Source organism: Homo sapiens, chromosome 13, assembly GCF_000001405.40.
Source record: "Homo sapiens chromosome 13, GRCh38.p14 Primary Assembly".
NCBI lineage: Eukaryota > Metazoa > Chordata > Mammalia > Primates > Hominidae > Homo > Homo sapiens.
Genome location: NC_000013.11, coordinates 46,771,256 through 46,798,809, shown reverse-complemented (window position 1 = coordinate 46,798,809; position 27,554 = coordinate 46,771,256). Strand labels below are relative to the sequence as shown.

Sequence of the window (27,554 nt, the reverse complement as noted above, 5' to 3'; positions counted from 1 at the left end):
TTTTTCTCATTTTTATTGCATCCCTTTATTGCCTCCTTAAGATTATATTCCTACTCATTTTAGTTCAAACCAAGAGTCCTATATCCTCTCAGCCACACATTTACACATAATTTTTGGACTATTTCTTTGTGTACTTAATATTCATCCATTTTTATTGGTAGTGCCATTTTTTAAAATGTCAACCTTAATTTCTGATTTCAGCCTTCTTTGCTTCCATGTCCAAATAATAATGATAATTATATATATTCTTAATATTTTTAAGCAATCGACTTTTGTGGATCTATTAACATTTTATTTATGCTGGGTAAAAGAAATTTTAGTTCTGCTTATTCTCACATTGTATTCACACAAGAACCCTTTAGTAAAGAACTTCACACTTACAGTTCTTTGGCTAGTCTGCACCTCACAGCAGTCCACTTATTAGGCAAATATATCATTTAATCAATTATTTCTCTTTGTTCAAACATCAGTTATAAAGAACTTGCAATTTAGGTATTTATTCTGTTTCAGTTTTGAAACTGAAGAAAATCCCCTTTTCAATGATTTATACTTAAAGATAGTAAAAAGAAAGTTTAAAACAATTTACTTCAATGCTTTCTCAAAATAAAAACATTATTTTGATGAAACATTATTTTCAGTCTAAGTTCCAATTGATCCACAGGTTCAGTCCACAGGTTAATTTAGTCCAAAGATCACTATGGCAAAATGGGCCTGAGCCACACAATAGATTCTGGCAGGTAATCTCTTGTGTGGCAGCTCATCCATACTTAAGTCAGCTCCCATAGCTACACAATTTGCAGGGCCCAATTCCAGACACAAACGTGGGGCCCTGGTTCAACACTTACTGAGAGAAAATGTAGCGTCCTTCTGTTCTGGGGGCCGGGTAATAGCACAGGTTGCAGGCCCATGAGGCCAGCCCCAACTATCAGATTGTGTATTTACAATGTCAGTCTAACCGTTGCTGAAAAATACTTAGCTCTGTTGTAATCAGATTTAATTTCTCAAGAGGCAAAGTACACTCAACAGTTTGCTTAAATCAGAGAGACCAAAAGGAAAGATTTGCTGTAAATTATCAACTAGCAAATCTTAGTCAGTTCAACTTAATTTTTATTGAGGGAAGAAGGGAGAAAACAGAAAACTGATGGAGTTCCCACTGCGTGTCGGCCACTGGAGATTTCAAAGGTTTCTTGTTTAACTCAAGCTACCAAGTAGGTGACGTGGATAGTCTTGGGACAGAGGAGTTGAGGGAGTTGAAATTAGGCCCTAGTTTCTACATAAGTGACACGGAAACCCTCTGCACGAGTTAAGCGAAGCTACATCTCAAGTTTATTAATGCCTCGGGTTCTTGCTGCTGGCTCTGGGAAGAGTCTGAGCACGCACAGCAGACTGATCCCCGACAAGGTGACAGGGACTAACCTAACGCCCTCCTCGTTGGTCCTAGTAACCACACAGAGCAGAAACGCGGGCGAAGGCAGGAGTTGGAGGGGGCGCCCACGCGGAGGCTGCCGGGAAGTGCAATGTGCAAAGGCGGCGGGGCCATGGAGACTGAACTGGAGAAGAGCGGGTTCTCGGAGTTAAAAGCGAGAGTGAGTGGGACCGGAGGGGCGGGGCATCATATGGGCGGGGCTGAGGCGAGGCCCCGGCGGCCATCTTGAGCCCCGCCTTTTACTTCGGCCCGCTTCTTCTGGTCACTCCGCCACCGTAGGTAAGACTGGGTTCGGGTAGAGGCCTGGACGTTGTCAGCCTTCCTGCGGCTGCGGCACGGCTAGGCGTGATCGGGGCGGACGCCGAGTCCTGCGGTGCAGGTATCCGCAGGCACGAGCGCAGAGACGGCGACCCTGGGCCTTGGGCGCCACCATCCATGACAGGAGGCCAAGGACCTTTTCCCGTGACCCGGAGCCTCGCCTCTAATCCCTTTTCCTTCTCTGAGCCTCCAACCTAGTGTAACCCGGGGCGAGCGCCCGTTTACCTACTGCCCGCTACATTTGTACAGCTTTTTCCTGTTCAGAAAGACTTTCCTAGACCCGCAGCCACCGCGCGAAAATGTGAAGTAGATGTGTACGCATTTTAAGGAGGGAGCTGGCCTCAACGCGTTACTAGCGGCCGCCGGCGCCTGGTTCGGGGGAGTGTGGACCTGCTGCTCTAGGCAGCGTCCGCGTCGGGGCACGAGCCAATGGCGCGGTCAGGAGCACTCACCTGATGGTGCCGAGGGGAGCACGTGTCTTTGGAGTTTGACAAAATCTGTTCGGGTCGTAAAATGCTCTCAGAGCGCTGTGGGGGACTGGAAGTCATTTCTGATGGGGTCATTAGGGAAATGGGATTGAGCGCACCTGGAAGGAGAGGGCATTCAGGTTGCAGGAAAAATAATAGCTCATGTTTGTGTGTGTGGTAGAAGCAGCATTTTAAGCACTACGTGAATTAACTCATTTAATTCCCAGAGCAACCCTATCAAATTGATATATATTACTGTATACCCATTTTGCAGATGGGCAAATGAGGCATAGATTAGCTTGCCCAGTGTCATGTAGTAATAAGTGGTGAAGTCAGGGTTTGAACCCGGAGGGTCTGGCCCCAAAACCTGCTCTGAAACCATTGTACCGTGGCATTGAGTAAAGCCACCCGATAGCAACATCCAGGCCATCCTAGAATTATGCATAGTTGAGTTTAACTAACAAAATAGGGAGTGAGACCAGAAAAATAATCTGGGACCAAATTATAGACCATATTTAGAGCCATGTGAAGGTGTTTGGCGTTTATAGATGCTATATTTTTTTTAAAAAATTTTCCCCAGAGTTTAATAGAAATCCTTACCTAGGCAAGCCATGTGAATTTTTATGAAGGAAAAGAGACCCAGCCTAGGCAGCATGGCAAAACCTCCTCTACAAAAAATTACCTGGGCATGGTGGTGCCACCTGTGGTCCCAACTACTCCAGAGGCTGAGGCGGGAGGATCACCTGAGCCCGGGGGCCGAGATGATTGCAGTGAGCCGAGATCAGGCCACTGCACTCCAATCTGGGCCACAGAGTTTGACCCTGTCTCAAAAAAAAAAAAAAGAAGAAAAAAAAGACTGTGTTTGCACACAGGTAGAGTGTGACTGAAGTTTATATGGAGTTTTATTCATCTATTTTTTCAGTGATCCTGCATGGTTTTAATTTTATGAAATTTTAATGGCATTAAACTTGAAGAAAATTGTACAATTAACATGGTCTTCCATTTCAGTGACTTTCTGGTTCTCAGCGACTGGCCTAACAGCGAAAGGGATTAGTAGTCTCCACCTGCAGCAGCCAGGGGGTGATGAGGCAGTTCTCATCTGCTCATTATTGTGAGCTGGCGAACTGCGTTTTTACATATGACTAATGGATACTTAACACTACTGAAATACACACTTAGGAATGGTTAAGATAGTAAATATTATGTATGTGTTTTTATCACAGTTTTTAAAATACTAAATAAAAATGACTAACAATTCCACGTAGGCCGTATTAGGCTGCAGATGAGCTGTTGGTAGGGATCCGTTGACCAGTAAATTAAGTGGATTAAAACCCTAGGCTTTCATGCAGGATTGATCGTAGTGGGATGTATTAGGAAGAAAGGAAGAGGCTAAGTTTTAATTTCTTATATATAATTAGGATGATGGCAGTGGGAATTCAAAAAGAAGGTAACTTTGAGGCATCTCAAATGTAGATTAGGCAAGACAGGCATGAGTCTGAAAAAGAGAGGCAATGAAAAGAGGAATGGTTTGAAGGTGAGATGCAGAAGCTTAATTTTAGGTGTGGTAAGTTTTAATAGCTGGTGACATGTCTTGGTAGAAGAGTCCAGCAAGAAATGTCATTATGGGTACTAATGCTTGAGAAAGATTGGTTATAGAGATGCAGATTTAGATTATTTCACCCAGAAAATGTAGTTGAAATTTAGGGAATGAGGTTTAGGGAAAGAGTGTGAAGAAAAAAGAAAAGGGAGGTGGGAGGAGACAGAGTGAAAGGGAAGAAGCCAGATCCTGAGTTTTCACTGAGAAGAGGATTTGAACAACACAGTGGTGGTCAACAGCAGTTATTGGAACTGTAGATTGTTGGTTTTGGGAACACCTGTCTAGGTTGTTAAGAGCCAGTGGAATAGGACATCCTGGAAATGAAGAAACATCAAAATCCAAGGAATCTGAGAGAATGGGAACAAAAAAACACATGTAGAGATTTATGGAAAACTTGAGACACAGGGGAAGAAGGATAAAAATAGAACTCAGATTTCTGGAGGTGGATGACATTTAACTTTAATAAGTAAAGGGCCCTGTCTCTACAAAAAATTAAAAAAAAAAATATTCCAGTGTGGTACGCACCTGTAGTCCTAGCTGCTCAGGAGGCTGAGGTAGGAGAACACTTGAAGCTTGGAGTTCTAGGTTACACTGAGTCATGATTATGCAACTGTACTACAACCTGGGCCACACAGCCAAGACCCCATCTCCAAAAAATAAAAAATAAAGGGAAGAACAGTAAGGTTTGACCTTTAGGGGAATGGATGTATTATGCACTGAGAGACCCTTTCTTCTCCAAAGAATGTTGATGTTCACTAACATTTGGGAAAAATTGTGTAACTCCCACTGGCACTGTGAAATTGTTTTTCTGTTTTTGTTGTTGTTGTTGTTGTTGTTGTTTTTTGGAGGGGAAGGAGGAAGGGTGTTGTTTGGTTTTTTGGTATTCCACCCTACTCTGTCACCCTATTTCTCCCACAAAATCTGTTCTAGAACCTAAATATATATTTGTTCTAGAGCCTAAATGAAATCTACCAGATAAGTGACATGATATATACTATGTAAGTTTCCATATATATTTTTCTTACTGAATATCAGTCACTTCATCGTTCATAAGCCCACTTTTCTTATACATCCTTTCTAGTCACCCTAGTAGTAGTCCTTCAGTCCTCATCTCTTCCCTTCTTTCTCCCCATGTTACAAGTTCGACTTACAACTGAGCCAGATAGATCCATCTTCCTCTACTTACCTAGTCCCCACTCTTATTTTCTTCACTCAGGAGTTGACTACATCTCATGCTTCGAAATTACACTTGAAAACTTTGTTTATTGATTTAAAAAGATAAAAAACTTTCATAGTACTTTTACTTCAGCAGATGGTTTTGACCAAGTACCAACAAGCTTTATGGCAAAATAGGTATTAAGGTGGCCTGTGGCAAATAATTAGATTATGGGCAATTAAGGTAATTAAGTGGTGATGTGGTATCCCATCAGGGTGTACAGTCATTTACCTCAAAAGAAGAAAACATCTCTATTGAGAATGCATATGCATATAAAAGCTCTGTATAACCTTTGCTGTGAAAAGTATATCCCATTTGTAAACCATTGGTGTTTTTTTCAGAATCGCCTACCATTTGGTGCAAGCAAAAAGCAATCAGCAATTGGACAGGTAAACTTGTTTTATTGTTTATATGTTACTCTGAACATTGAATGAAAATACCACTAATAGCTTGTTTTAAAACGTGCTATTTTTCACATAGAAAAATTCTATTGAAAAATATAACCACCTATTATAATGTATCAGATATCATAGTATATCACAGTATGTCATATCTAGTTCTTAGTTTATGTCATATTTCTTGTTAAGCCTAACATATTTTTTTGATTTGTAATTAAAGATAGTTTCTAAAATGGTGGGTAGAAAAAATACTTTAAAAGCTTTGTTTTTTAAAAAATATTCTACCAACTTTTAAAAAGTGTTTTAATCTTGTTTCTTCTGGCCAAATGAAAAGCATTTGATTTTGAATTTTAAGAGCAGAGAAAACTGACAACTTGAGGTTTATTAAAATAGACGAATAGCAAAGATACAGACTCCTATGTACCAGATACGTGCTCAGTGTACCATCTTTTGCAAAGTGGATATAGTCCTTTCTAAGTTTAAGAAAATCTGGTTTCCTTGTGGAATAATGGAGCAAATAAATTTTATTTGTTGGTCTCATATATATGTATTAATATATTAAAATTAGTATCTCTCTCTATAAGTTCATTATTTAAGATAGGATTGTTAACAGTAGCTAAAGTTAATATTCAGTAACTAATAACATCTCATGGGAGTTTATTGTTTAAGAATTAATCTTTTATAGATTAAAAGCATAAAACTGAGCAGATGGTAATTTCTTTGTGTACAGTTGTAATATCATAATTCTATAGAATCAGTTATCTTAAAGTGTCTTAAAAAATGAGTATTTAAAGAACCTCTAGAGAGTCAGGACAGCATAGCAGTTAAGAGTAGGGCTTCTGATGTCAGACTTCTGGGTTCAAATCCCAGTCTTCCAAAATAAAACTATTTGGGTTTATTGAAGAAATTAGAGATAAGATTGAAACTAATTTTTTAAAGTATTTTATAAAGACATTTCCAAAATTAGCTTTTTAAGATTATTGTTATACATCTTTGAAAGAGTAATCCTAAAGCTCCAGCTGATTAGCATGTAGTAGTGCATTTCTCTGAGAAGATCACCAGGGTGGTAATACCTGTTCCTGATATCTAAAGCTTTTTCTTCAATATGTAGGACTTACTGCCTTATATTCTAATACAGTGTTTCTAGGAATAGAAAGGGAATCTTTCTTTGAGAGGTACATGTCAGAATCAGTGTGGTTTCCCTTTGCTTAATAGGCATTTATGATAAAGATAGTTTTCCAACTTTTTTCCTGTATTTATCATTAAAAGCAATAAAATATGTCATTTTACATGTAAGTTTAAAATTATTTTTACATGAAAACAAAAGATTTGTTGGACAGAAAAGAAGTTAACAGGCTTGTTTTACTTATTGGTTTGTTTTAAAAGGAGAAATAAATGTTGATCTTAAAGTTTCATATCACTTTCTCTTAAAAATTCATGGGATGAGTAATTGGATCTGGTTTAGTGTCTAGAAAAATGTGTATCACACCGTAAGTGTTCAGTAATGTTACATATTATTATTACCAAAATCATTATCACATCTTTCTTCCATTTTAAAATCAACTATAATCAGTCATACCAATTCCTTGACTACTTTGTTGCAGTTGATAGGCAGACTATTAACAATTTTTAATCTTCTAAACTAAGGTAATTAATTGGTAACTTATGTATTTTCTGCCTCTTTTAAAAATAATTTGGGGCAGTCCACCACAACGAAAAAACTTGTTAATAAATTAGTAATGATATACCAAAGTATGAAAGCTTTTAAAAGTGAGTAACAAGTGTAAATGCATGTATGAGCGTTAATCAGTTTCTTAATATTATTTACTGGAGAAAAATGTGAAAAAAAAATTCTAAGTAGAAAATAGTTGTATGTTCAGATAATTTATCTGAAGGCAATTAGTTTTGTTTCAAGTTTTTCAGTAACTAATTCTCTGGAAATTAATGAGATTACTCTTTACTAATAGGAAAAGAATGGCATTGAAGCAGATTTCCAGCAACAAGTGCTTTGGGGGATTGCAGAAAGTTTTTGAACATGACAGGTAACTATTAAGAAGATATAATTTTAGATACCTCATTCTGTTGGATTATTTTGTTCTATTTTAAAACCAATCTTTATCTAGATATTATAGTACCTCATTTTACTTTTAAACTTGCTTACTCTCTTTCTGTGGTTATGTATTTGACAATTCTACCAGACTTAATTAACTGTGGATGTGATTGTGTGAGGTAGAGCCTTAACAGAGAAGTATCTTCAAGCTTTGACATGATGCTCTTCTGAAACTTTATGAAAATGCTTATGTTGCCAGTAAAAATTCTGAAAACATTTTCTTTGAGGATCTCTAAGTGTAGGAAAAACACCTGGACTTTTTGAGAAAGATGGCACACTAAACACATGCATTTGCTTCCGCTGCCTCCAAAACTCTGACTAACATGGCATTAAGTAAAGAGATTAAACACACACGCACACATACATATACCTATAAAGGCATAAAGAAGCAGGAGACAGGAGCTAAGAATAACATTTTAGAAGCAGGAATACAAATGGAGAGGTAGTACCTGACTTAGTAAAACCTAGAAAGCTACATTCTAAACATAAGCAAGAAAACCTGAGAAATGACACAATTTATTTAAAGCCATAGTAATTGGAGGCACCAGGGACCCCTGAAAATAAGGATAAAAGTTGAGCTTAGAAAAAAGATTAATTGAAAGTCTGTTTTTAAAAGGAGATAGATCTGAGAGTGTCCCAGCTTTATGGACTGCCTCTTCCTAACTCTGGGAAAGATTGGAGGTAAGTTCTCTAGAGAAAGTAAACTGTTTGTACTGGGGAATACCAGACACAATTAGTGGGATTGTGATACTGCAAATAGATTAAGCAAAAGTTTGCACACTGAGTTTCTTCCACTAGCTTTCAAAATTTGGGGACTTAGTCTTATATCCTTTAGAAGAATTTCTTTGTGGGGAGTTTGAGTAGCCCAAAGGAAGAGATTTCAAGATACTGAGATTTGCCAACAAAGTAACCTAACCAGACCTTACAGTAAAGCAATGATTGACAACTCCACCTGTAGGCACAGTGCTTTCAACTAGATTTTTAGTGTTTCTCTCTTAAATAGGAGTGGACAGCTAAAGATCACTAGACATTTGTATAAAGTCTTTAATTTGATATGAACTTCTCTTCATATCAAAGTATAAAAGATATTGACCTCTTGACTTCATAGGATGCTATTAAAAAATATTCAAGTACATGGCCAGGTGTGGTGACTTACACCTGTAATACTAACACTTTGGGAGGCCAAGGCAGGCAGATCACCTGAGGTCAGGAGTTCGAGACCAACCTGGCCAACATGGTGAAACCCTGTCTCTACTGAAAAAAAAAAAATATATATATATATATATGTACAAAAATTAGCCAGGCATGGTTATGCACACCTGTAGTCCCAGCTACTTAGGAGGCTGAGGCAGGAGAATTGCTTGAACCTGGGAGGCAGAGGTTGCAGTGAGCTAAGATGGCACCACTGCACTCCAGCCTGGGCGACAAGAGCGAAACTCTGTCTCAAAAAACATAAAATAAAAAAATCCTCAACTACAAAAAAGCCTAGACATTTAAATTTTGGTAGTAGAAATGACAAAACTCAATAGAATGGTTAGTTGAACATTCTAGAAAGTAAAATAAGATAAAAGTGATAAATCAGAAAGGACAACAAAATTAGAGGACTAGTCCAAAAATCCAACATTAAAAGTTAGGAATTTTGGAAAATAGAACAGAAATAGAGGTATAGATATAAATAATAAATAATTCAAGAATTCCCAGAACTGAAGTTGCCAGATTTAAAAAGTTGTCTAGTACAATGGATGAAAATAGATCTACACCAACAACATAGTAAAGTTTTAGAGTGTTGGGAACAAAGAAAATTCTCAAACATTGAGAAAAAGAGAAAGTAGATTAAGAATTTTTCAAAGGTTTAGGTCAGCTCAACGGTATTACTAGAACTAAGAAGGCAGAGCAGCAGTGCTTTCAGGATTCTGAAGGATAACTTCTATGTCCAACCATATTGTCAATTAAGTGAGAGTAGAATGAAGATGTTTTCATATATGAAAGGTCTCAAAGTGTATTTCCCATGCACTTTTGGAAGCAACTGAATAATATGCTTCACCAAAATGAGGGACTAAAGCAAGATAGCTGAAGGCATAAGATCCAAGAAAACAGATCAGAGGAGAAAGAGTTTCCAGATGAGTGGAGCTATATTAAGGCAGCAACTAGAAAGCAGCAGGTCAAAAGTTGGAGATGGTAGCCAGTAATTACATGTAGCCATTTACATCAAATTAGCTAATTAATAAAACTTCAGTCCCACTAGCCACATTTCAGGTGCTCAGTAGTCACATGACCAGAAGCTGTTGTACTGGACAATACATAGATAGAACATTTTTATTAATATCACTGTAGAAAGTTCTGTTCGGCAGTACTGGTCTGAAGGGGTTTTTTTAATGTAGATGAAATTGATAGAACTGACTGTATTAGAGAGGAAATTTATGAAACCAATCAGGGTTGGGGGAGTTTGGTATTGAATTAGTGATACATGCAGAGTGACCACACAAATATCTGTGCATGAGATTGTATTCTTTTGGTAATTGAGCAACATCTTAATGACATGATAGGGACAGAGGTTTCAGAAGATTGCTTGATAATCCTGTTGTGTTTTTTTTTTTTTTTTTTGCTTTTACATAAGTGTTAATCATACCACTGTTGAACATACTTTAGACCTGATTTATTCCACAACTGCTTGAGAAAGGTCCTCTTTTAAAAATTTTGTTGTAATAACAAAACAACATGAAATATACCCTCTTAACAAATGTTTAAGTGTGCAAGAAAGGTCTTAAGGCACCAACCATTCTGTAACAAGATTATGTTCTCTTGATTTTACGTATTGATAACAGATATCCCTGCATTGAATATGGATTTGATATAGTATTATAATGAAAGTAAATGTTTCAGCTTCCCTAACAAAAGTTGAAAACCTAAAAACAAATGTCAGAAATTTTTTGTGCCGTCAGTCATCAACAAGAAAAGTTGCTTAGAATAATGTGGAAAAAGAAAATCACCAATATGCAGAGAATGGAAAGGAGCATACAGAAAACTTCCCATGATGGGGCCTTTGTGGGAGTCTATTCCTAACAAGGAAGGATAACCAGTAACAAAAAGGAGAGAATTACCAGCTCAATGAAAACAAAAAAAACTGAAAGAAAAAGGAAAGTAATGCTAATATACTACATGGCTTATCTCTGAATAGCATTTATAACTTCTTAATATTGATTAACCAAAATTATATGTGATACGATAGTGGAAGGAGAAATGTAGGGGCATGCAGAGAGCAAAGACAGGGAGCTGAAAGTTAACTAAAATCCTTCTATAATGGGAAGCCAATAGATAATAACTAAAAACTGAAAAATCTAGAAGCAGTAATAAAGTCATATTATGTAGATAGGGACATAAATACCAGAAAAATCAACTAAAAGAGGTAAATTAATTATCTCTGGAATATGGAAAATGAGAAGGTTGGAGAGTTTTTTATATATTTAGTTTTTATATATATTTAGTTTTTCATAACAGTGTGTGGAAGTATTTACTATTTAGTTACAGTTTACTTTAAACTATGTACTTACATAACTTTGATAAAAAGATAGGTGTTTACTCTGAAGTAGTAAGAGTTTACTTCCATTTATATGATGTTTTAAATAAACCCATGAGAGATCACTGTTGCATGAATTACTGTTTACTGGAAAAACGCCTGTGGTTTTAATCAAAATTGTCTTTTCTAGTTGCATTAATAGTGATTGTGATAAAATATTAGTGATGAAAGAGCGAATTAAGGATGTGTTGCATTTTAGTGCCTATGAACAAATATGTAAGATCTCAAGAATTCATTTTTTTATGAAAGATGATTTGTCATTTCATACATTTCTTTAGAAACAAAAACTATTTTTTAATAAATGCCACAATGAATTACATTTATTTTTTCACTTATTTTGCCCAGAATGACAGTGCCATGCAAAGTATAGGCTCAGGTTGGTTTAGATCAGTATGCTAAATTGACCACATTCTTTCTTTAAGGGACAAGTATATTCGTTAAATGTTAGTGGAACCACTTATTTTGAACATTAAATAACTTATTTTGGACCTTTAGTATATATCTTACTTTTTATATAGTGCATAATTATTTTGTTTCTGTATTGATTAATGAGGGGCATTAATATTTTGTTGTTGTTTTTGTTAAAACTAGTGTTGAACTAAACTGCAAAATGAAATTTGCTGTCTACTTACCACCAAAGGCAGAAACAGGAAAGTGCCCTGCACTGTATTGGCTCTCAGGTAAGTATTATGCATTTGAGTTTTATAAAGTCGTTTCTATTTTCTTTTTAACTGGCTTATCTTACCCTTTTATTTTAACTTGGTAGGCTTTTTGAGCCATTTATGAAAGACTTTAAGGACCTGTCATAGTCTACTCTGTTACTTTTATCCTCAGAATAATTTCAGACCTACTGAATTATATTTATTTCATATATTTTTCTAATAGACCAAGTAATTTAGCAGAGAATGTAAAGTTCTGTACTCAATAGCAAGGGCTTAGAAAACTTATTTACTTAATTTGGACCTACCCAAGCATTTCTGGAGTTTATAGAGACTTTACTAGTCCATTAGAACAATATTAGGTGAAATCAGGACACCAAGATACTCTAATTAGAAACCAGCTATTGTAAAAAGTCAAATAACTTACAGTGTTCTCTAAAATATTTTAACTGGACTCCATAGAGCTTCTCTGACAACAATCTGGAAAGTCACAAAAGAACGCTAAGGCTTCTCTTAATCAGTGTTTCATATTAACTACTGTAGAATAGATTGTGAAGAGTAAGATTTTGACACCTGCAGTTTTGAAACCTCTATGCTAACTTTTCTTTCACAAGACGCTGGTACTTCATCTTCAGAAGCAAACATAAGGAGAGAATCCTAGCAACTAAATTGTGTCACAGAGTACTATTTTAATTTTGTTTCCTTCAAATTGGTTCCTGTAACTTTGATTTAACAAATCCTCCCTCATGTGTGTTTCATCAAGGACAAGTCCCAAATACCAGTCTTTGAAAATGAGAATAAATATTTCATCTTAAAGGGTAAAGATTAAGTGCATATCTGACTTTAACTCAAGAAAACATTTCTGTGATTGAATGAAGAGCACTGATTTTGCTAGAAGAGCATTAGGTATTGCTAAAAGCAAGAGCAACAAAATTAGTTATTTAATTGTCTTAGAAAATATAATATTGTATAGCTAAAAATGATCTTAGAAATCATGTAATCCCTAGAAAGAAAATGAGGCCCAGTGAAGCTAAATATTGTCCAGGGTCACACGCTAATGTGGAGTTGAACAAGTTTTCTGACTCACAGTCCAGAGCTGTATTTAGTTTTTTCTCCTGTTGTTTTTGCGTTTTGTTTCTGGTGAGGGGTACTATAGTCATATCTCTTGGCTAAACAATAATAACCAGAAGCCCTGAGGCATTGTGTCATAGGTACTCTAATAATAGGGCCCTAAGTTTTAACTAAAATTGAATCTAGCAAGACATATCTGAGCTTTACAAGTATAAAATACAGAATTTTTGTTTGTTTACATCAAATGACAGGACAGTTTCCTTAGTGAGATGCTGAAGAACAGATAGACCTTGGAAATTAAGGCTTGATTTTCTGAGTAAAGGTAAGATTGCCTGACCAGTGCACGTGAGAAATGGTGACAAAAAAATTTCAGAAGGTTTACTTCCCAGCAAGTCTAAGGAAAACAATGACAGAAAGATTACACAATTATTATATAGCTAAAATAGAGAAATTAGCTGAAATCAAAACAGCCAAACTGAAATCTTAAAAGATAGTTCATGTGTAGTGATTTGTATCTTTCCCAAGTGAAGGTGACCATTGAAACAGCCCTTTATTAGCTGTGTACCCAATAGAATTGAAAACATGTCCATACAGAAACTTGCACATGAATGTTCATGGCACACTATTATAATAGCCAAAAAGTATAAACAAACCAAATCTCTCTCAACTGGTGAAATGATCAATAAAATCGATTGCTAGTTCATTCCTCACCATTCTCACATCATTGTAGTATTAGATACCTATAGTAAAAGAATTAAGTCATCTCCTCTATCATGACTGAAAAGCATGGAGCTAGGAAAAATAACAGAAACTTCTAAAAACTGAGGCTAAAACTCAATTTAAGGATGGCATATGGTCACCATTACTCTCTTTTTAGTTCAGTGAAGAATACAAAGATGATTAAGCTAAATTTTGTTGCTGAGAACTATCTGTATGTAAAAAAAAGTATTTGTATTATGAAGACCATAGTATTTGCTTATTTACTGTGAATATGTTTTGGTGCAGAAATAGTGCGATGTTTAATTAGCATATTTGATAACACTTCACTGGGGTTGTTTTAATATTGGGCTTATGCACCATATTGTCACTCTACAGTTTGAAAATTTCTGAATTCCCAAACACTCCTGGTCCAAAGGATTTTAGTAATTGAAACTTTAGTAGTGATTTTAAAAGGATAGTTATGGGATCACTTAACCTAACACAGTTCTTAGGTTAATACTATTACAAATTTTGTGAAAAAGTGAATTTTAGTGTCTTACTCAAAATTGTTTCTAAAGCAAAAAAAATAATAATACCAAATGAGCTTGTTTTCCTGTATTATAAACAGTTTAAAGCTTATAAACCATTCACAATATAGCATGAGATAATTTATTTTTAATAATTTCAACTTTTATTTTAGATTAAAGGGGTACACGTGCAGGTTTGTTATATGAGCGTATTGCGTGACATGGAGGTTTGGGGTATGAAAGATACCATCACCCGGGTAGTGAACATAGTACCTAACTGGTAGTTTTTCAGCCCTTGTCCGTCTCCGTCTCCCCCTGCTCTAATAGTCCCCAGTATTAATGGTGCACATCTTCATGTCCATGTGTGCCCAATAACAATATTTTTTATCTTCAGGTTTAACTTGCACAGAGCAAAATTTTATATCAAAATCTGGTTATCATCAGTCTGCTTCAGAACATGGTCTTGTTGTCATTGCTCCAGATACCAGCCCTCGTAAGTGTTTGTGGTCTAGATATCCTTTGTAAAAATCTAAATCTTTAAGACTGGTATAAAGTGGTATGATATATACATTATACAATTCATTTTATATTTTTGCTGTTATCTCTATTAACCTTTCAAGTGGCATCATGACTCCAAAATACCATGCTGTACATTTTCCTCATTGAATTTTACTCATGACATGGCCTTTATGAAAGAGGATAGTTTTGCTATTCCCATTGTACAGATTAAGATACTTCAAAGCAGAGATTGAGCAACTCAATTCATATATCATGTTGGCACTACTGTCAAAATACTAATGTGTAATGCATAGGAAATTATTTTTCTATTCCAGAGGTATACTGTCTTGTTGCATGATAATTACATCTTTTTTCATCTCTGTTAACATCAACCATACAGTTAAACAAGTATTAGTTTTAATATAAATGATTTGAATATTTACATTAGAGAAATGAAAATATCAACTACGTGAGACTCAATGCATCAGACAGTTAAAACTTGTTTTATGACTCTAGAAGTTTCAGGAAATGGAATTTAAATGGCAGTAAAACTAGGGAAGTTATATGGCTGGCCTGGCAAGTAGTATATTTCCTTTCACAGGCCATATTATACAAAAACAATGCATATCTGGTTAGAAATATAACAACAGATTTAATTCAAAATAATATCAAAAATATAAAATACGAAAATAGATATATAAAAGGGAAACTAAAATTTTGTTATCATAAACGAAGACTTTAATAAATGGGAAAATGCTGTGTTTCTAGATGGATAAAATGAATCTTACGACAAGGTCATGTCTCCAAATTACTCTACGTGTTACTGTAATTCTATTCAAAATCCCAATGGTTGGCTTTTTAACCACATGCAAGTATATAAAATAAAATGTAACAAGTTAAAAAGAAACATAAGAAAATTCCAGTGGAGGTTGGATAGATAGGAAAAATGTGATGGAAAGCATATTAGAAAACATTTTCAGTTCAAGATAGTAAGTTGAGCACAAGCATCTGCCTCCCCACTCCTGTGTAAAGAGAATTTAAAAAGTGCTGATAGTGAGAGAGGGTCATCAGGGAAGGGATCACAACACATTTCTGAAAGATAAAAAGAGGATATAAGTCCTTTTTGACAGGTAAACCAGAGTAAGGAAACATATGTTCAGAGTACATAAGAAACTTCATCAACAAAGAAAGTTAGTGTATCTTACCTTGGCAGCTGAATACTCCAGCTTGGAAGGTCATTTTTTACCTCATTGGCCAGAACGAGTCGCAGGGCCCCATTCAAGGGCAAGAGGAGCAGGAAGTATAATCCTATCATGTGCTCCAAAAGGCAGAGAGCTCACAACATTTGGTGAACAGTTCCCATGCAAATGGACTTGCAGATTCATCTGAAAGTGTGTTATTAAACATGGGCCATTACTACAGAGCAGATGAAACCACAAGATTGTTTCTTGATAGGTGGCTGCAATATTAAAGGTGAAGATGAGAGCTGGGACTTTGGCACTGGTGCTGGATTTTATGTTGATGCCACTGAAGATCCTTGGAAAACCAACTACAGAATGTACTCTTATGTCACAGAGGAGGTAATTTAATTTGTATTGTAATTATTAATTGATGACTGCCAAGAGTTTGATTTTGAACACAAAGTCCTTACAATCCTGAGGATTTTAAACTAGGGTATAAAAGTTACTAGTAAAAATTCCAAAGTTTGCTAGTACTATAGTTCTATTTACTGCAATTTAAATTAACACTAAGTACAATTAAAGAATATAATCATTATATTGAGACCTGTTTATACTACCCAGAATAACCAAGAAAATGGTATATGAAAAAAACCTTTAATTTGCCTGGCAGCTGGTTCATTTGGATGTATTTTATAGTGATAAGCCAAGGCTTAGTTAGAAAACATAAGTGGTAAAGCATTACCTCTATTAATAATATTTGTATGCTGCTTATGCATTTTCTGAATTTTATATGATTTTCATTGTTACTATGTATATCATAAAAACTTAGAAACAATAGTGTAAGTTTTTAATTACCCATAATTCTGTTACCCCCCCAAAACACTTATGTTTTGGTATGTTCCAGACTGTTTCTATGACTAGTTTTCACGTAATTCTAAACTTTTTTATTTTCTTCTTCTTTTTAAGTTACATATAAAAATATTTTCTAGTGTTATTCTGATTTTAATAATTGTGTAATATTCTGTCATATGCCATAATTGACTTTTTCCTCTTATAGAATACTTATGGTTTTGTATATGTTTTTACCCTAATAAATATTACTGCATTGATTATATTTGTGCATAATGTTTTCTCCCTAAGGACTTTTCCTTAGAATATATTCCAAAAAGTGAAATTACTAGGTCAAAACTTAAAAGCATTTTAAAGGTTCTTTCTGCATCACCTTCCTAAAGTGTTTTCTAAGAAGTCTGTACCATATATTTTCCAGGGATATATTAATAATCATGGTCTGCCTGAGGATTTAGTTTTGTTTTGTTTTCATTGTTACTAGTTCAAACCATTGTAAGACTATGATTTGGCAGTATTGATTGTGTAATTATTTTCTGTAACTTTGAAATGTCTGAACTTATTTTCTTTGATATCTTTTGTCACACTATTAAATTTTTTCTAGCTTCCCCAACTCATAAATGCCAATTTTCCAGTGGATCCCCAAAGGATGTCTATTTTTGGCCACTCCATGGGAGGTCATGGAGCTCTGATCTGTGCTTTGAAAAATCCTGGAAAATACAAAGTAAGATTATCTAAACTTCTAGTGATAAATATTTCTCTTGAATAACATAATATTAGGAACCTTCAAAGAGTAAAATTACAATATTGTTAGTATTGGAACTAAACTTTTCTAGTGTTGAGAACTTTGGGGTGTTTGAAGGGTGGGTATTTAATTTGACCATAGAGTGTATGCTGCAGAATCAGACGCATAGGAATTCAGCAAGAGTGCTTTCTTATTGGCCTACTGGAAGTATTATAAAATGTAGCTTCTCCTTTAATTGTTTTTATTCCAACTATAGTTTTGAACACACTTTTTTTCTGTAAAGGTTATTATTACTGATTAATGTTATAGTGGCAGGATCTATCATTTATATTCTTACCAGGGATGTCTTTGTAAAGTTGACTTTGATTTTCTGAGGTAAAAGATATGATTTGTAGAAGCTTAAGAATTGTGTTCTTAATGCCTCTAATGAAAATTGAAATGCAGCTTGATTAAAAAACATCACTCTCAGCCTTTCCCAGAGTCAAATTTGAATAACTACCATATGTAGTATGTCATACTGTGCAGAACAGCATGTTACAAGAGTTGAATAAGGAAGTGTTAAAGCAACTAGCATCTTAAAATTTCTTCTGCCTTTAAATTTACAGGGCTGTTCATGCCCTTAAAATTGGTTTAATTCATTTCCTCCTCTTAGGAAGAACTTGATTATTTTAGGTGTGCTACTGAGAAATGAAAACATTTCTCATAACAGTTTCTTTCTGTGGCATCAAATATTTTGTTTTTGGTACGCTTTATTATCAAGTTTTATTAATTCATGGCCTGACAGTGGGCTTTCTAAGTAAGCACTTTTATTTCCATTTTTTAAGGCAGTCTATCATGTCTGAGGTAGAAAAGCAAACTTAGTTGATTTTTTTGTCCTTTAAAAAAGCTAGTAGATACCACTAAACATTTACATTGATGAGTACTCTGAAGTTGAGAGATCCCATCTCTGCATCTCATCCAGTGAAAAAGAACATTGTATAGAACACAGAGTTGTATTAAAAATTCTGTCATATTGAAATGCATTGCTCACTGCTTTGTTGGTACTGTTTAAGAGAAATGTGTCAGATTTAGTAACATGTTCACTAAGGTAAGCATGAACTGTTTTATATCACTATAGATTAATTTTCAGTGCTAAAAAAGCAGAAACGCTGAACATAGACTTCTGTTTGTATCTTAAATTGCAATGTATTGTTTTGCATTATTTTAGCAACTATACTTATTAGCTCTCTTAATAGAATACACAAAAGATGTATTATGGAAAGGCCTGCAATCTAAGCCAGCAATATATCAAAAGGAAAATTGTTCACAGGGTTTTCATGGCAAGTCAGAATTTTTAAGCAAGTTGCAAGTAACTTCTATATTTTTAAGTAAGTTGCAAATATCTATTCATATTTAATTTAGCAAAATATAACTTGTTTTTAAATTTCTTTTGTTTCTGAAGTCTGTGTCAGCATTTGCTCCAATTTGCAACCCTGTACTCTGTCCCTGGGGCAAAAAAGCCTTTAGTGGATATTTGGGAACAGATCAAAGTAAATGGAAGGTAGGTACTGAATGGCTGTCTTAATACTCATTCTTAAGTTTCAAGTTTGTTTAAAAGGTTGGACATATATTATATTCCTACCCTGCTCATGTTAGGGCTCTAGAGCTGAGACAAATTAGCAAAAGATATATATATATCGATATATATATCAATATATGAGATATATATTATTATATATATTATTTTATATATATTATTATATATATTATTTTATATATATATATATATAAATCAACAAAAAACCCTACTTTCTAATTGTATTGAATCATGGCAGATATTCTGGGGCTATATTTTTTTTCTACTAATGGTTAATTTATATTTTTATTTCTAAATTAACATCACTTCTAAATTAACCAAAAAATACCACATATTACAGGTTGAGCATCCCTAATCTAAAAATACCATATATTACAGGTTGAGCATCCCTAATCTAAAAATTCAAAATGCTACAATGGGTATTTCCTTGGAGCATTACCTTTAAGCGTCATGTGGGTACTCAAAACGTTTCAGATTTTGGAGCATTTCTGATTTTGGATTTTTGGATTAGGGATGTTCAACCTGTGTTACTAAATTTAGACTTGCCTCTTATTAACTATGTGCTCAGTTGTGTAATAGAAGCAAAGAAGCCTGGCTTTTTAAATTACTTTGTTTTCAAAATTTAGCATTTCAGATCTCGATTTTAAATTCCAGACACGAGTCTTTAAAAATAGATATTCTGTTATGTACATTTATGTGAATATTCCCACAGCAAGATTGCTTTTTCAAGCATGCAAACAGGTGCTTTCAAGTGGAAATAAAAATGACCCTTTTTCCTGAGAGCCATGTTACTCTTGTGCAGAAATGGGCCATTTACAAACTCTGCCAAGAGTTTGAATACTTTGCAAATGAACTCATCATGATGTGTATTGTTAACAAGCAGAAAATACTTGAATGGGTAAAAAATGCAACTTCTTTGTCTTAAAGTATTTAAAGTATAGTTCTGTGTTCAGGGTTCATTCCTACATGAACCCCTATTTTATGTAAGGATGATTATTGAAATTCCAACACATTTTATTTAAGGATGATTACTGAAATTCTAACTAATTAAAGGGTTCATCCTTTAGTAACTAGATTACAGTTTTGTTTAGGCTTGAATTTTTACTATGTTTGAAGAATGCTAGAAATGATTTAGGATTAGGTCCTTTGAGAACTGACATTGCATGTACATCAGTGTTTTGAGTCTTCATCTGGTGCAAAGTCTATGCTAGGTTCTGAGCTGTTTTGTCACGAAAATGGTGACCCTTTCACATCCACCAGGGGCTTATGGTCTAATAGAAGAATTGGGTAAAAGACCAACTAATTGGAGGGTGAAGGTGAGAGGTAGAGGTACAGGTAACCTAAAAAGGAATCTAGATATGTACTTTTCTCCAAGTGACAGTAGATTTTACTGTCTTAATTATGTTGTATTTAGGGTATTATTTAATTTACGATTGAAATCAGGAAACCATGTAGAATTATGAAATCATAGAATTTAGAACTAACTAGTCAGACTTTATAGGTCCTCTCCCACTCTAAGATGAAAGGAAATAGAACCTTCAAAAGCAGGATACTTAGAGGACAAATCTTTTCGTGGTTGTTTGTCTTGGTCAATGTATAAAGTTGTGGTTAATGAATATATATGAATAAGAATATTTCGAGGTGGATGATAAAACATAAAATTGTAACTAGTGGCAGCTCCTCAGAGAATAAATTTGAGATGATGTTGATATGATTCAGATGATTCACACCAGGTGTTTCTGAAAGCTTATGTAGATAGCAGAGGTTTGGTGCTGTTCAACAGCAAAAAAGAAGGCTGAATGTGTTTATGTCTGGAATTACAGCCATAAAGAAGAGACATAAAAAAAAAGATTATCTGAAATAGAGAATATTTGGAAAAAGATCATGGAGTTAGAAGAAGCTTCTAGTTTCCAATTTGTGGAAGGAGTTACAAAGGAAAAAAAATCATGTTCTTGCTGGAGCCAAGAGGAGATTAAGAATATTAAAGGTTTAGAAGGAAAAAGGCCATTTTCTTAAGAATCCCTGAGATATGGGATTCTTGCCACTAGTCTAGGACTGCTTGAAAGTAGGGAAGAGACTATTATTAGAAAATAGAATTCCGAAGACCTTGTAAATAAAAGCCTGGCAAGTCAGATTTTGAACCAACTTAAAAGCATATTTCTGATTTAATCAGCCTAAGAGCTTAAATAACTTTAAATTTCTGTTTGGTACTAGTATAGTATATCCTGAAGAGTATCTTTGAATTTATTTTTCAATGTTACTTCTCTTTTTACAGGCTTATGATGCTACCCACCTTGTGAAATCCTATCCAGGATCTCAGCTGGACATACTAATTGATCAAGGGAAAGATGACCAGTTTCTTTTAGATGGACAGTTACTCCCTGATAACTTCATAGCTGCCTGTACAGAAAAGAAAATCCCCGTTGTTTTTCGATTGCAAGAGGCAAGTATTAGGAAACTTTAGCTTGATCTAGATAATGTAACTATGAAAAATTAGGATTCTGTGATATTTTCTTAACTTTATTTTAGAATATAAAATGCTACTTCTAGTAAGTTTTTAATTATATTCAGACACTTGAAGTGAAAACCTGCCTATAAAATTAATTATATCTAACACTAAATTTGATAGAAATAGGAAAGCTTTTGGCAGTGAAAAATATTGTTTTCCATCAAACCAGTAAATAACAAGATTTTTAATGCTTGAATGATGATTAATCTTCAGCATTAGCAGATACTTCTTTCTTTACACATGGACCTTTGCTGCAGTAGAATAAAAAGGACAAACTTCTACCTAAATTACTCCTTATTTTATGTATATATTTTAGCCTCAGAAGTTAAGTATTATTTATCACACATGTGCTTTATATTATTTGACTTTCATATTAATCTATTCATTGTGCTACTTGATATTTCTAGTTGTTTAAGAATAATTACTGAATCCCAATGGGCTTGCAAGTTTTTTTTAACTAAAATATTTTTGACCGTCCACTACTCACCTAACTCTATATATGCTACCATAGTCCTAATTAAGGAAGTTCTGCTTTTATTTTTAAGAAAAATTCATAAGCTTCAGAATATAATTTAAAATATTTTAGAGTGAAAAATGAGCACTGAAAATTATACATGGTCATGATTTTTAAATAAATTTTTATCCATGTTTAAGGATAATGTGTCAGGCACATTGATCTAAAATGTAATTACGATGGTAAATGTTCAAATCTAGATCAGTGTGTAATGTGGTACATTAGTTTGTAAAATGCTTTCACAGCATTAACTCATTGTTAATTCTTATACCGCCAAATGAGATATCATTTCTTTCCTATCCATCTGTTTTACAAATGAGGAGACAGGCTCAGAGAAGTAACCTACTTATCTAAGGCCACATAGCTAGTAAGTGGTGGAACCAGAACTGGAACTAAGGCCATTTAACTGCAAATACTGACCTCCTGTCATTTATCAAGCCATTTTCAGACGGCATGATATTCTCCTGAGGAGCAAAGGAATGGAATTAGAGCTAGCACAAGGAGAAATTGTGCATAGCTTGCTGCCTACGTAACTTATGCAGAAGATCTGAGCAGTCTTCCTGTTTTTAGGGATATTTTGCACATGTGAACTATATAGTGAGAAAATGTCAAAAACTAATACATGATATACTGTTTGTCTCTTAGTGTCCATCCTTGAGTAATAGAATTTTGTTTTAGATTTATTTGAACATTTACCATCACAATTAAATTTTAGGTCAACAACCAGCCTTGAGAAATCCAAATACCAATTTGACTATAAATATAGTAATACGTTTAACTGCAATAACTATAGCTATAAGTGCGTACCAAACCATGTTTTTTCCAAATGACCTTAATTTCTTGGCACTACCCATGTTGGATACCTCATTTGCTTCCCCAAAGACTGGGCCCAAAATTTCTGTTGTTTCTACAATGATTCTGCCTGCCAACAAAGTCTGAAAATCTCAAGTTTGTTATAAAAACAGCACAGTTAGAACATGATGACATTCCTGGAGGGAAAAATAAGTCCACTTATTTGTTTCTAAAATGCCTGTATCCCAAGCAACTAGAACACATAGTTGGCTATACTTAATGAGGAGTCAAGACAAACCATTCAATTCTTCTAAAAAAGTAAGAAAGTATTCAAAGCACCAGAGTCACAATGTTGAGCTCAGGTGCAATTTTCTATTCACTTTACTTCCAGCATGGTCGGGTTAAGAGTGGACTACATAGCTTGAAGCGGATTTCGTTGAGATTCGTTGTAATTGAATCAACAACTGAATGAGCATGCCTAAGTAGTGGCTCCAGAGAGTCTGCTTTCAGATTTTCTTGCCAGCTTTGACCCAAGATTACCCTGGGTCTGCGAGTTTTATCACCTGCTTTATCATTTGATTACAAGTATAGTATAACTGTATTTCCTTGTGGGATAGAAGCTGTAAAAAATAAGCTGAAAATAATAGGGGATATATATAAATAAACGATCTGAGAAAGAATAAAGAAAATAATTACAATCATGCACATGATTTACTCAACTTCATTCTTTTACCTCTTTTTAATGGTGTTAAATGCTCACAATTTATATTTATACTCTGTCGAATGTCAAAAAAAATTTTTTAGAGAGAGGGGTTAGTGCATCGGGGATATTTATTTGGTTATTATTTTATATAATTTTTTCTTTTTCTATTTTGGCTTCAGGGAATCTAAATTGAAAAAAAAATACTAGGTAGCAGAATTCTGATATCTAGTGTACAGAGATCAAATCTTAGTCTGAAAAAGAAGGGCCTAGTATGTCTTATCTTTAGTTATTGGAGTTACACAGTGAGAAAAAAAAATTTAGTGACCTAATACTGTGAAGAAGTTTCCAGAAATAGTAATCTCTTTTTGTGGAATAGAAGGAGAGGCTATACTACCTCCTTAAGTCTCAGGACCTTTTTGAAGATTGAGAGGCTGTTTTAGCCTCTGCATCTGCCTGCTAGAGAAGAGTAAGAACATGGCAGAGAATCCCAGAAATGTAGAGCTCTCTCATTCATCTCTGTATCCCATGCTTATTTAGCATAGGTATCTAGCACAGAGACTCTCAATACTTGTTAAATGAATACAGTGCAAAGTCTTCCTCCTTATACACTGAAGAGATTTAATAACCTGGGGATTCTTATCCAAGCTTTTCTAATTGGGTCTGGAAAATATATAAGAAAACACTGCCTGTTAGGATAAACATCCATCATAGCTGCTGGAGCACTGCTCCCTTTTTGAGAGCTGAGTGAAGAATGAAAGAATGAAAGGTGTTCATTTATTTTTATACTCCAGGAGTCAAGAGTTTTGCTACCAAGGATTTTCCATTTAAAGTGTGAGGTAGAGGAGAAAAGTCCCCTTCAAGTGTCACTAAACATAGGCATTTGCACAAGCTGCTTAACATATCATACCAACTCATTCATCAAAGAATTTAATTAAAGAAGCCATCCCCATTTAATAAGACTGATAAATAGAAACCCTCGTCAGGGATGATACAATTAGCTCGAATTGTGTAACTTCAGCAGGATACCAATTGTTCAAATGTATTCTATTGCCTTTTTGTTGACATTTTTTAAAATTCTTGGGCCCTCAATGGCAGGCATTTTCTTCTTTCTCATATAGGTGAATCTTTATCATTATGGAACTTATGGTCATTTGTTTTGGATTTTAGATGTCTTGTCTTGCAATATATTCCTGGGTTTACCTTGGGACTTCTCTAATAATAATGATGGCTATTCATATGTGTCTGATGGCTCTTAACACACAAGAAACTAAGGATAAAAATATGGCATACTCAGTCACATTGGAACTTGGTCACACAAGTCTTTTGAGATATCTGTTTCCCTGCATCTGTACCCATTTTCTATCAGATCCATCTTTTGATCTGTGAAAAATGGCAGATAATACTTGGTACATTTTACAGGTTTGGTGGCCTAAAACTCCAGGCCTGTTTAACTTCTTAACAATTCAAGAATTATATGGATGGAAAATGTTTTTCTTTACATTTCTTTCTTTATATAGGAAACTGTAATTTAGCTCTAAATTCAACTAGCCAGCTGGGACTAGTCTAATCATTGAGAGACATGACACCAAGTAATTCCGAGGCTCAGCTTTAATCTTGACAACATTCCTGTCACATTCACTTCCATGATAGAAGACAGATTGCTTTAGAAGACTTAAGTTACCTTGACCTTAAACTAGAACTTTTTATTAACAGCTGTTCCCAAGATAAACATTTAATACCTCTCTGGAAGGGAGAGATTGAGAACATTTACTGATTCATCAAAACCTTGGGGATTTCCTTGTTCTCTGAAGCGTCAGTGATATTTTTATTAGCTCTATTTTTATTTCTTAGGTGCTTAGAAAAATTCCCATCTTTTCCCATCAGTGACCATTCACTAGTTCAAAATGGGAAAAACAAAATCTTTGTTAGACTTTCATTTCTTTCGGTTTATTCAACCTTGTATTTTAATTGTAGATAGGGATAAATTATCTGGTGTTTGATACCCTTAGAAAGTTCTTCCCACCTGGAGTGTAAATTAGTTTAACCATTGTAGAAGATAGTGTGGTGATTCCGCAGACCTAGAGGCAGAAATGCCATTTGACCCAGCAATCCTATTACTAGGTGTATACCCAAAGGAATATAAATCATTCTGTTATAAAGATACAAGCACACATATGTTCACTACAGTACTATTCAATACTATTCAATAGCAAAGACATGGAATCAACCCAAGTACCCATCGGTGATAGACTAAATAAAGAAAATGTGGTACATATGCACCATGGAATACTGTACAGCCATAAAAAGGAATGAGATCATGTCCTTTGCAGGGACATGGATGGAGTTGGAAGCCATTATCCTCAACAAACTAATGCAGGAATAGAAAACCAAACACCAGGCCAGGCGCAGTGGCTCACGCCTGTAATCCCAGCACTTTGGGAGGCTAAGGTGGACGGATCACAAGGTCAGGAGATCGAGACCATCCTGGCTAACATGGCGAAACCCCGTCTCTACTAAAAATACAAAAAATTAGCTGGGCATGGTGGCATGCACCTGTAGTCCCAGCTAGTCGGGAGGCTGAGGCAGGAGAATCGCTTGAACCCGGGATGTGGAGGTTGCAGTGAGCCAAGATCATGCACTCCAGCATGGGTGACAGAGTGAGACTCCGTCTCAAAAAAAAAAAAGACCAAACACCACATGCTCTCACTTATAAGCAGGAGCTGAATGGTGAGAACACATGGATATATGGAGGGGAACAACCCACACTGGGGCCTGCCAAAGGGCGATGGGAGTTGGGGAAAGCATCAGGAAGAACAGCTGATGGATGCTCGGCTTAATACCTAGGTGATGGCTTGATCTGAGCAGCAAACCACCATGGCACACGTTTACTTATGTAACTGCATATCCAGCACATGTACTCCTGAACTTAAAAGTTGAACAACAAAAAAAGAAGGAAAATGCGTTAATACCTTATTGTAATTATTTTTTTTTTGGAAGACTATTTTTTATATTCAGAAGAAGTGTCAGAGTCAGCAGAAAGGGATTATTTCTCCATTTACCTACAACAATGGTTTTAAATGACTGGATAGATAGAAATCTCTTTCAACTTAACTGCTTAGCACATTGCATTTTTCTCTGTTTCATGTTAGTTTTCCAAAGGATTACTGACTTTTTACCTAATTTGCTAAGGGATGTCAGGCCTTAATGACATATTTCCCCTCACATAAAGATACAACATGCTTTTACTGTGTAGGAGGAATTGTTAACAGGATTTATGATGGCTGTGTTTGACTTCCCAACAATGATAGAACATTTGGGCATTTTTATGTTCTTTTTCTATATTGTTTGTGTGCTTATTTTGTGTTTTAATAGTCACTGTCTTACTGATGTGCTGCATTTGTGAATTGAAATGTCTTGCCCATGTTTCTAAGATCTCTAAATCCTGATTCTTTTCATCTTGGTTGATATGACAGTGTCATATCAACTGACACTGTCAATTGATAGTGTCATTTTCAATGACAGTGTCTACTCTGCATATTTAATGCACTCTACAGTGTTGATATGACATGTCTACTCTGCATATTTAATTAATGTGTTACTTCCACTCTTTACATATTAATGGCAGCATTTAGAAGTTAGGCTATGTTTAGAAGCTAGGCAGAATGTTTAGTTTTCCTTCACATTTTTGCTGCTCTTTTAATGTACAGTGAAAATGTTAAAGTACAAGGATGACAACCTTGATTTTATTATAAACCTTCCTCATACTTCCTTAATGTTATGACTATTTGTAAGCAAATTAAACGACCTTAGAGATATATTTAATGTTCCTAATACTGATGTTCCTGAATGGTAGATAAATGTCTTATCATCTCTTTATCTTCTAGGGTTATGATCATAGCTACTACTTCATTGCAACCTTTATTACTGACCACATCAGACATCATGCTAAATACCTGAATGCATGAAAAAACTCCAAATAAGAGAATCTCTTCAGGATTATAAAAGTTGTAAAATGCAACTGTATTGCTGAGCAAAAAAAAAAAAAATTCAAAACATTGGATTTTATAGTGCTAAAAGGGCTTTATTCTATAGTTGAATCACCTCTGAATAAAGATATAAAACCTA

At 34.9% G+C, this 27,554-nt stretch overlaps 1 protein-coding gene across 3 annotated transcripts, besides 3 other annotated features; it reads left to right on the top strand.

The window, feature by feature from the left end:
- Nucleotides 1-1,109: 1,109 nt before the first annotated feature.
- Nucleotides 1,110-27,554, top strand: ESD (esterase D). Of its 3 annotated transcripts, none has more exons than XM_011534954.2 (10): nucleotides 1,110-1,208; nucleotides 5,366-5,413; nucleotides 7,390-7,464; nucleotides 11,701-11,789; nucleotides 14,460-14,558; nucleotides 16,019-16,143; nucleotides 17,195-17,314; nucleotides 18,777-18,875; nucleotides 21,187-21,354; nucleotides 27,314-27,554. In XM_011534954.2, the coding sequence occupies exons 3-10, from the start codon at nucleotides 7,397-7,399 to the stop codon at nucleotides 27,392-27,394; spliced, it is 849 nt and encodes a 282-aa protein (XP_011533256.1). In that variant the 5' UTR covers nucleotides 1,110-1,208; nucleotides 5,366-5,413; nucleotides 7,390-7,396; the 3' UTR covers nucleotides 27,395-27,554. The 3 variants fall into 3 exon arrangements, with proteins under 3 accessions (XP_011533256.1, XP_005266335.1, NP_001975.1); XM_005266278.4 differs by lacking the exon at nucleotides 1,110-1,208 and adding an exon at nucleotides 1,565-1,586; NM_001984.2 differs by lacking the exon at nucleotides 1,110-1,208 and adding an exon at nucleotides 1,649-1,705.
- Nucleotides 1,732-1,781: an enhancer, noted in NCBI's record as "active region_7713". NCBI's record gives its function as "activates an Ori minimal core promoter by ATAC-STARR-seq in GM12878 lymphoblastoid cells {active_cell/tissue: GM12878}" and the evidence as "EXISTENCE:reporter gene assay evidence [ECO:0000049][PMID:35858748]".
- Nucleotides 1,913-2,514: an enhancer, noted in NCBI's record as "H3K27ac hESC enhancer chr13:47370431-47371032 (GRCh37/hg19 assembly coordinates)". NCBI's record gives its function as "activates a minimal SCP1, AML or CMV promoter by ChIP-STARR-seq in primed H9 embryonic stem cells {active_cell/tissue: H9 hESC(primed)}" and the evidence as "EXISTENCE:reporter gene assay evidence [ECO:0000049][PMID:30033119]".
- Nucleotides 2,092-2,141: a silencer, noted in NCBI's record as "silent region_5327". NCBI's record gives its function as "represses an Ori minimal core promoter by ATAC-STARR-seq in GM12878 lymphoblastoid cells {active_cell/tissue: GM12878}" and the evidence as "EXISTENCE:reporter gene assay evidence [ECO:0000049][PMID:35858748]".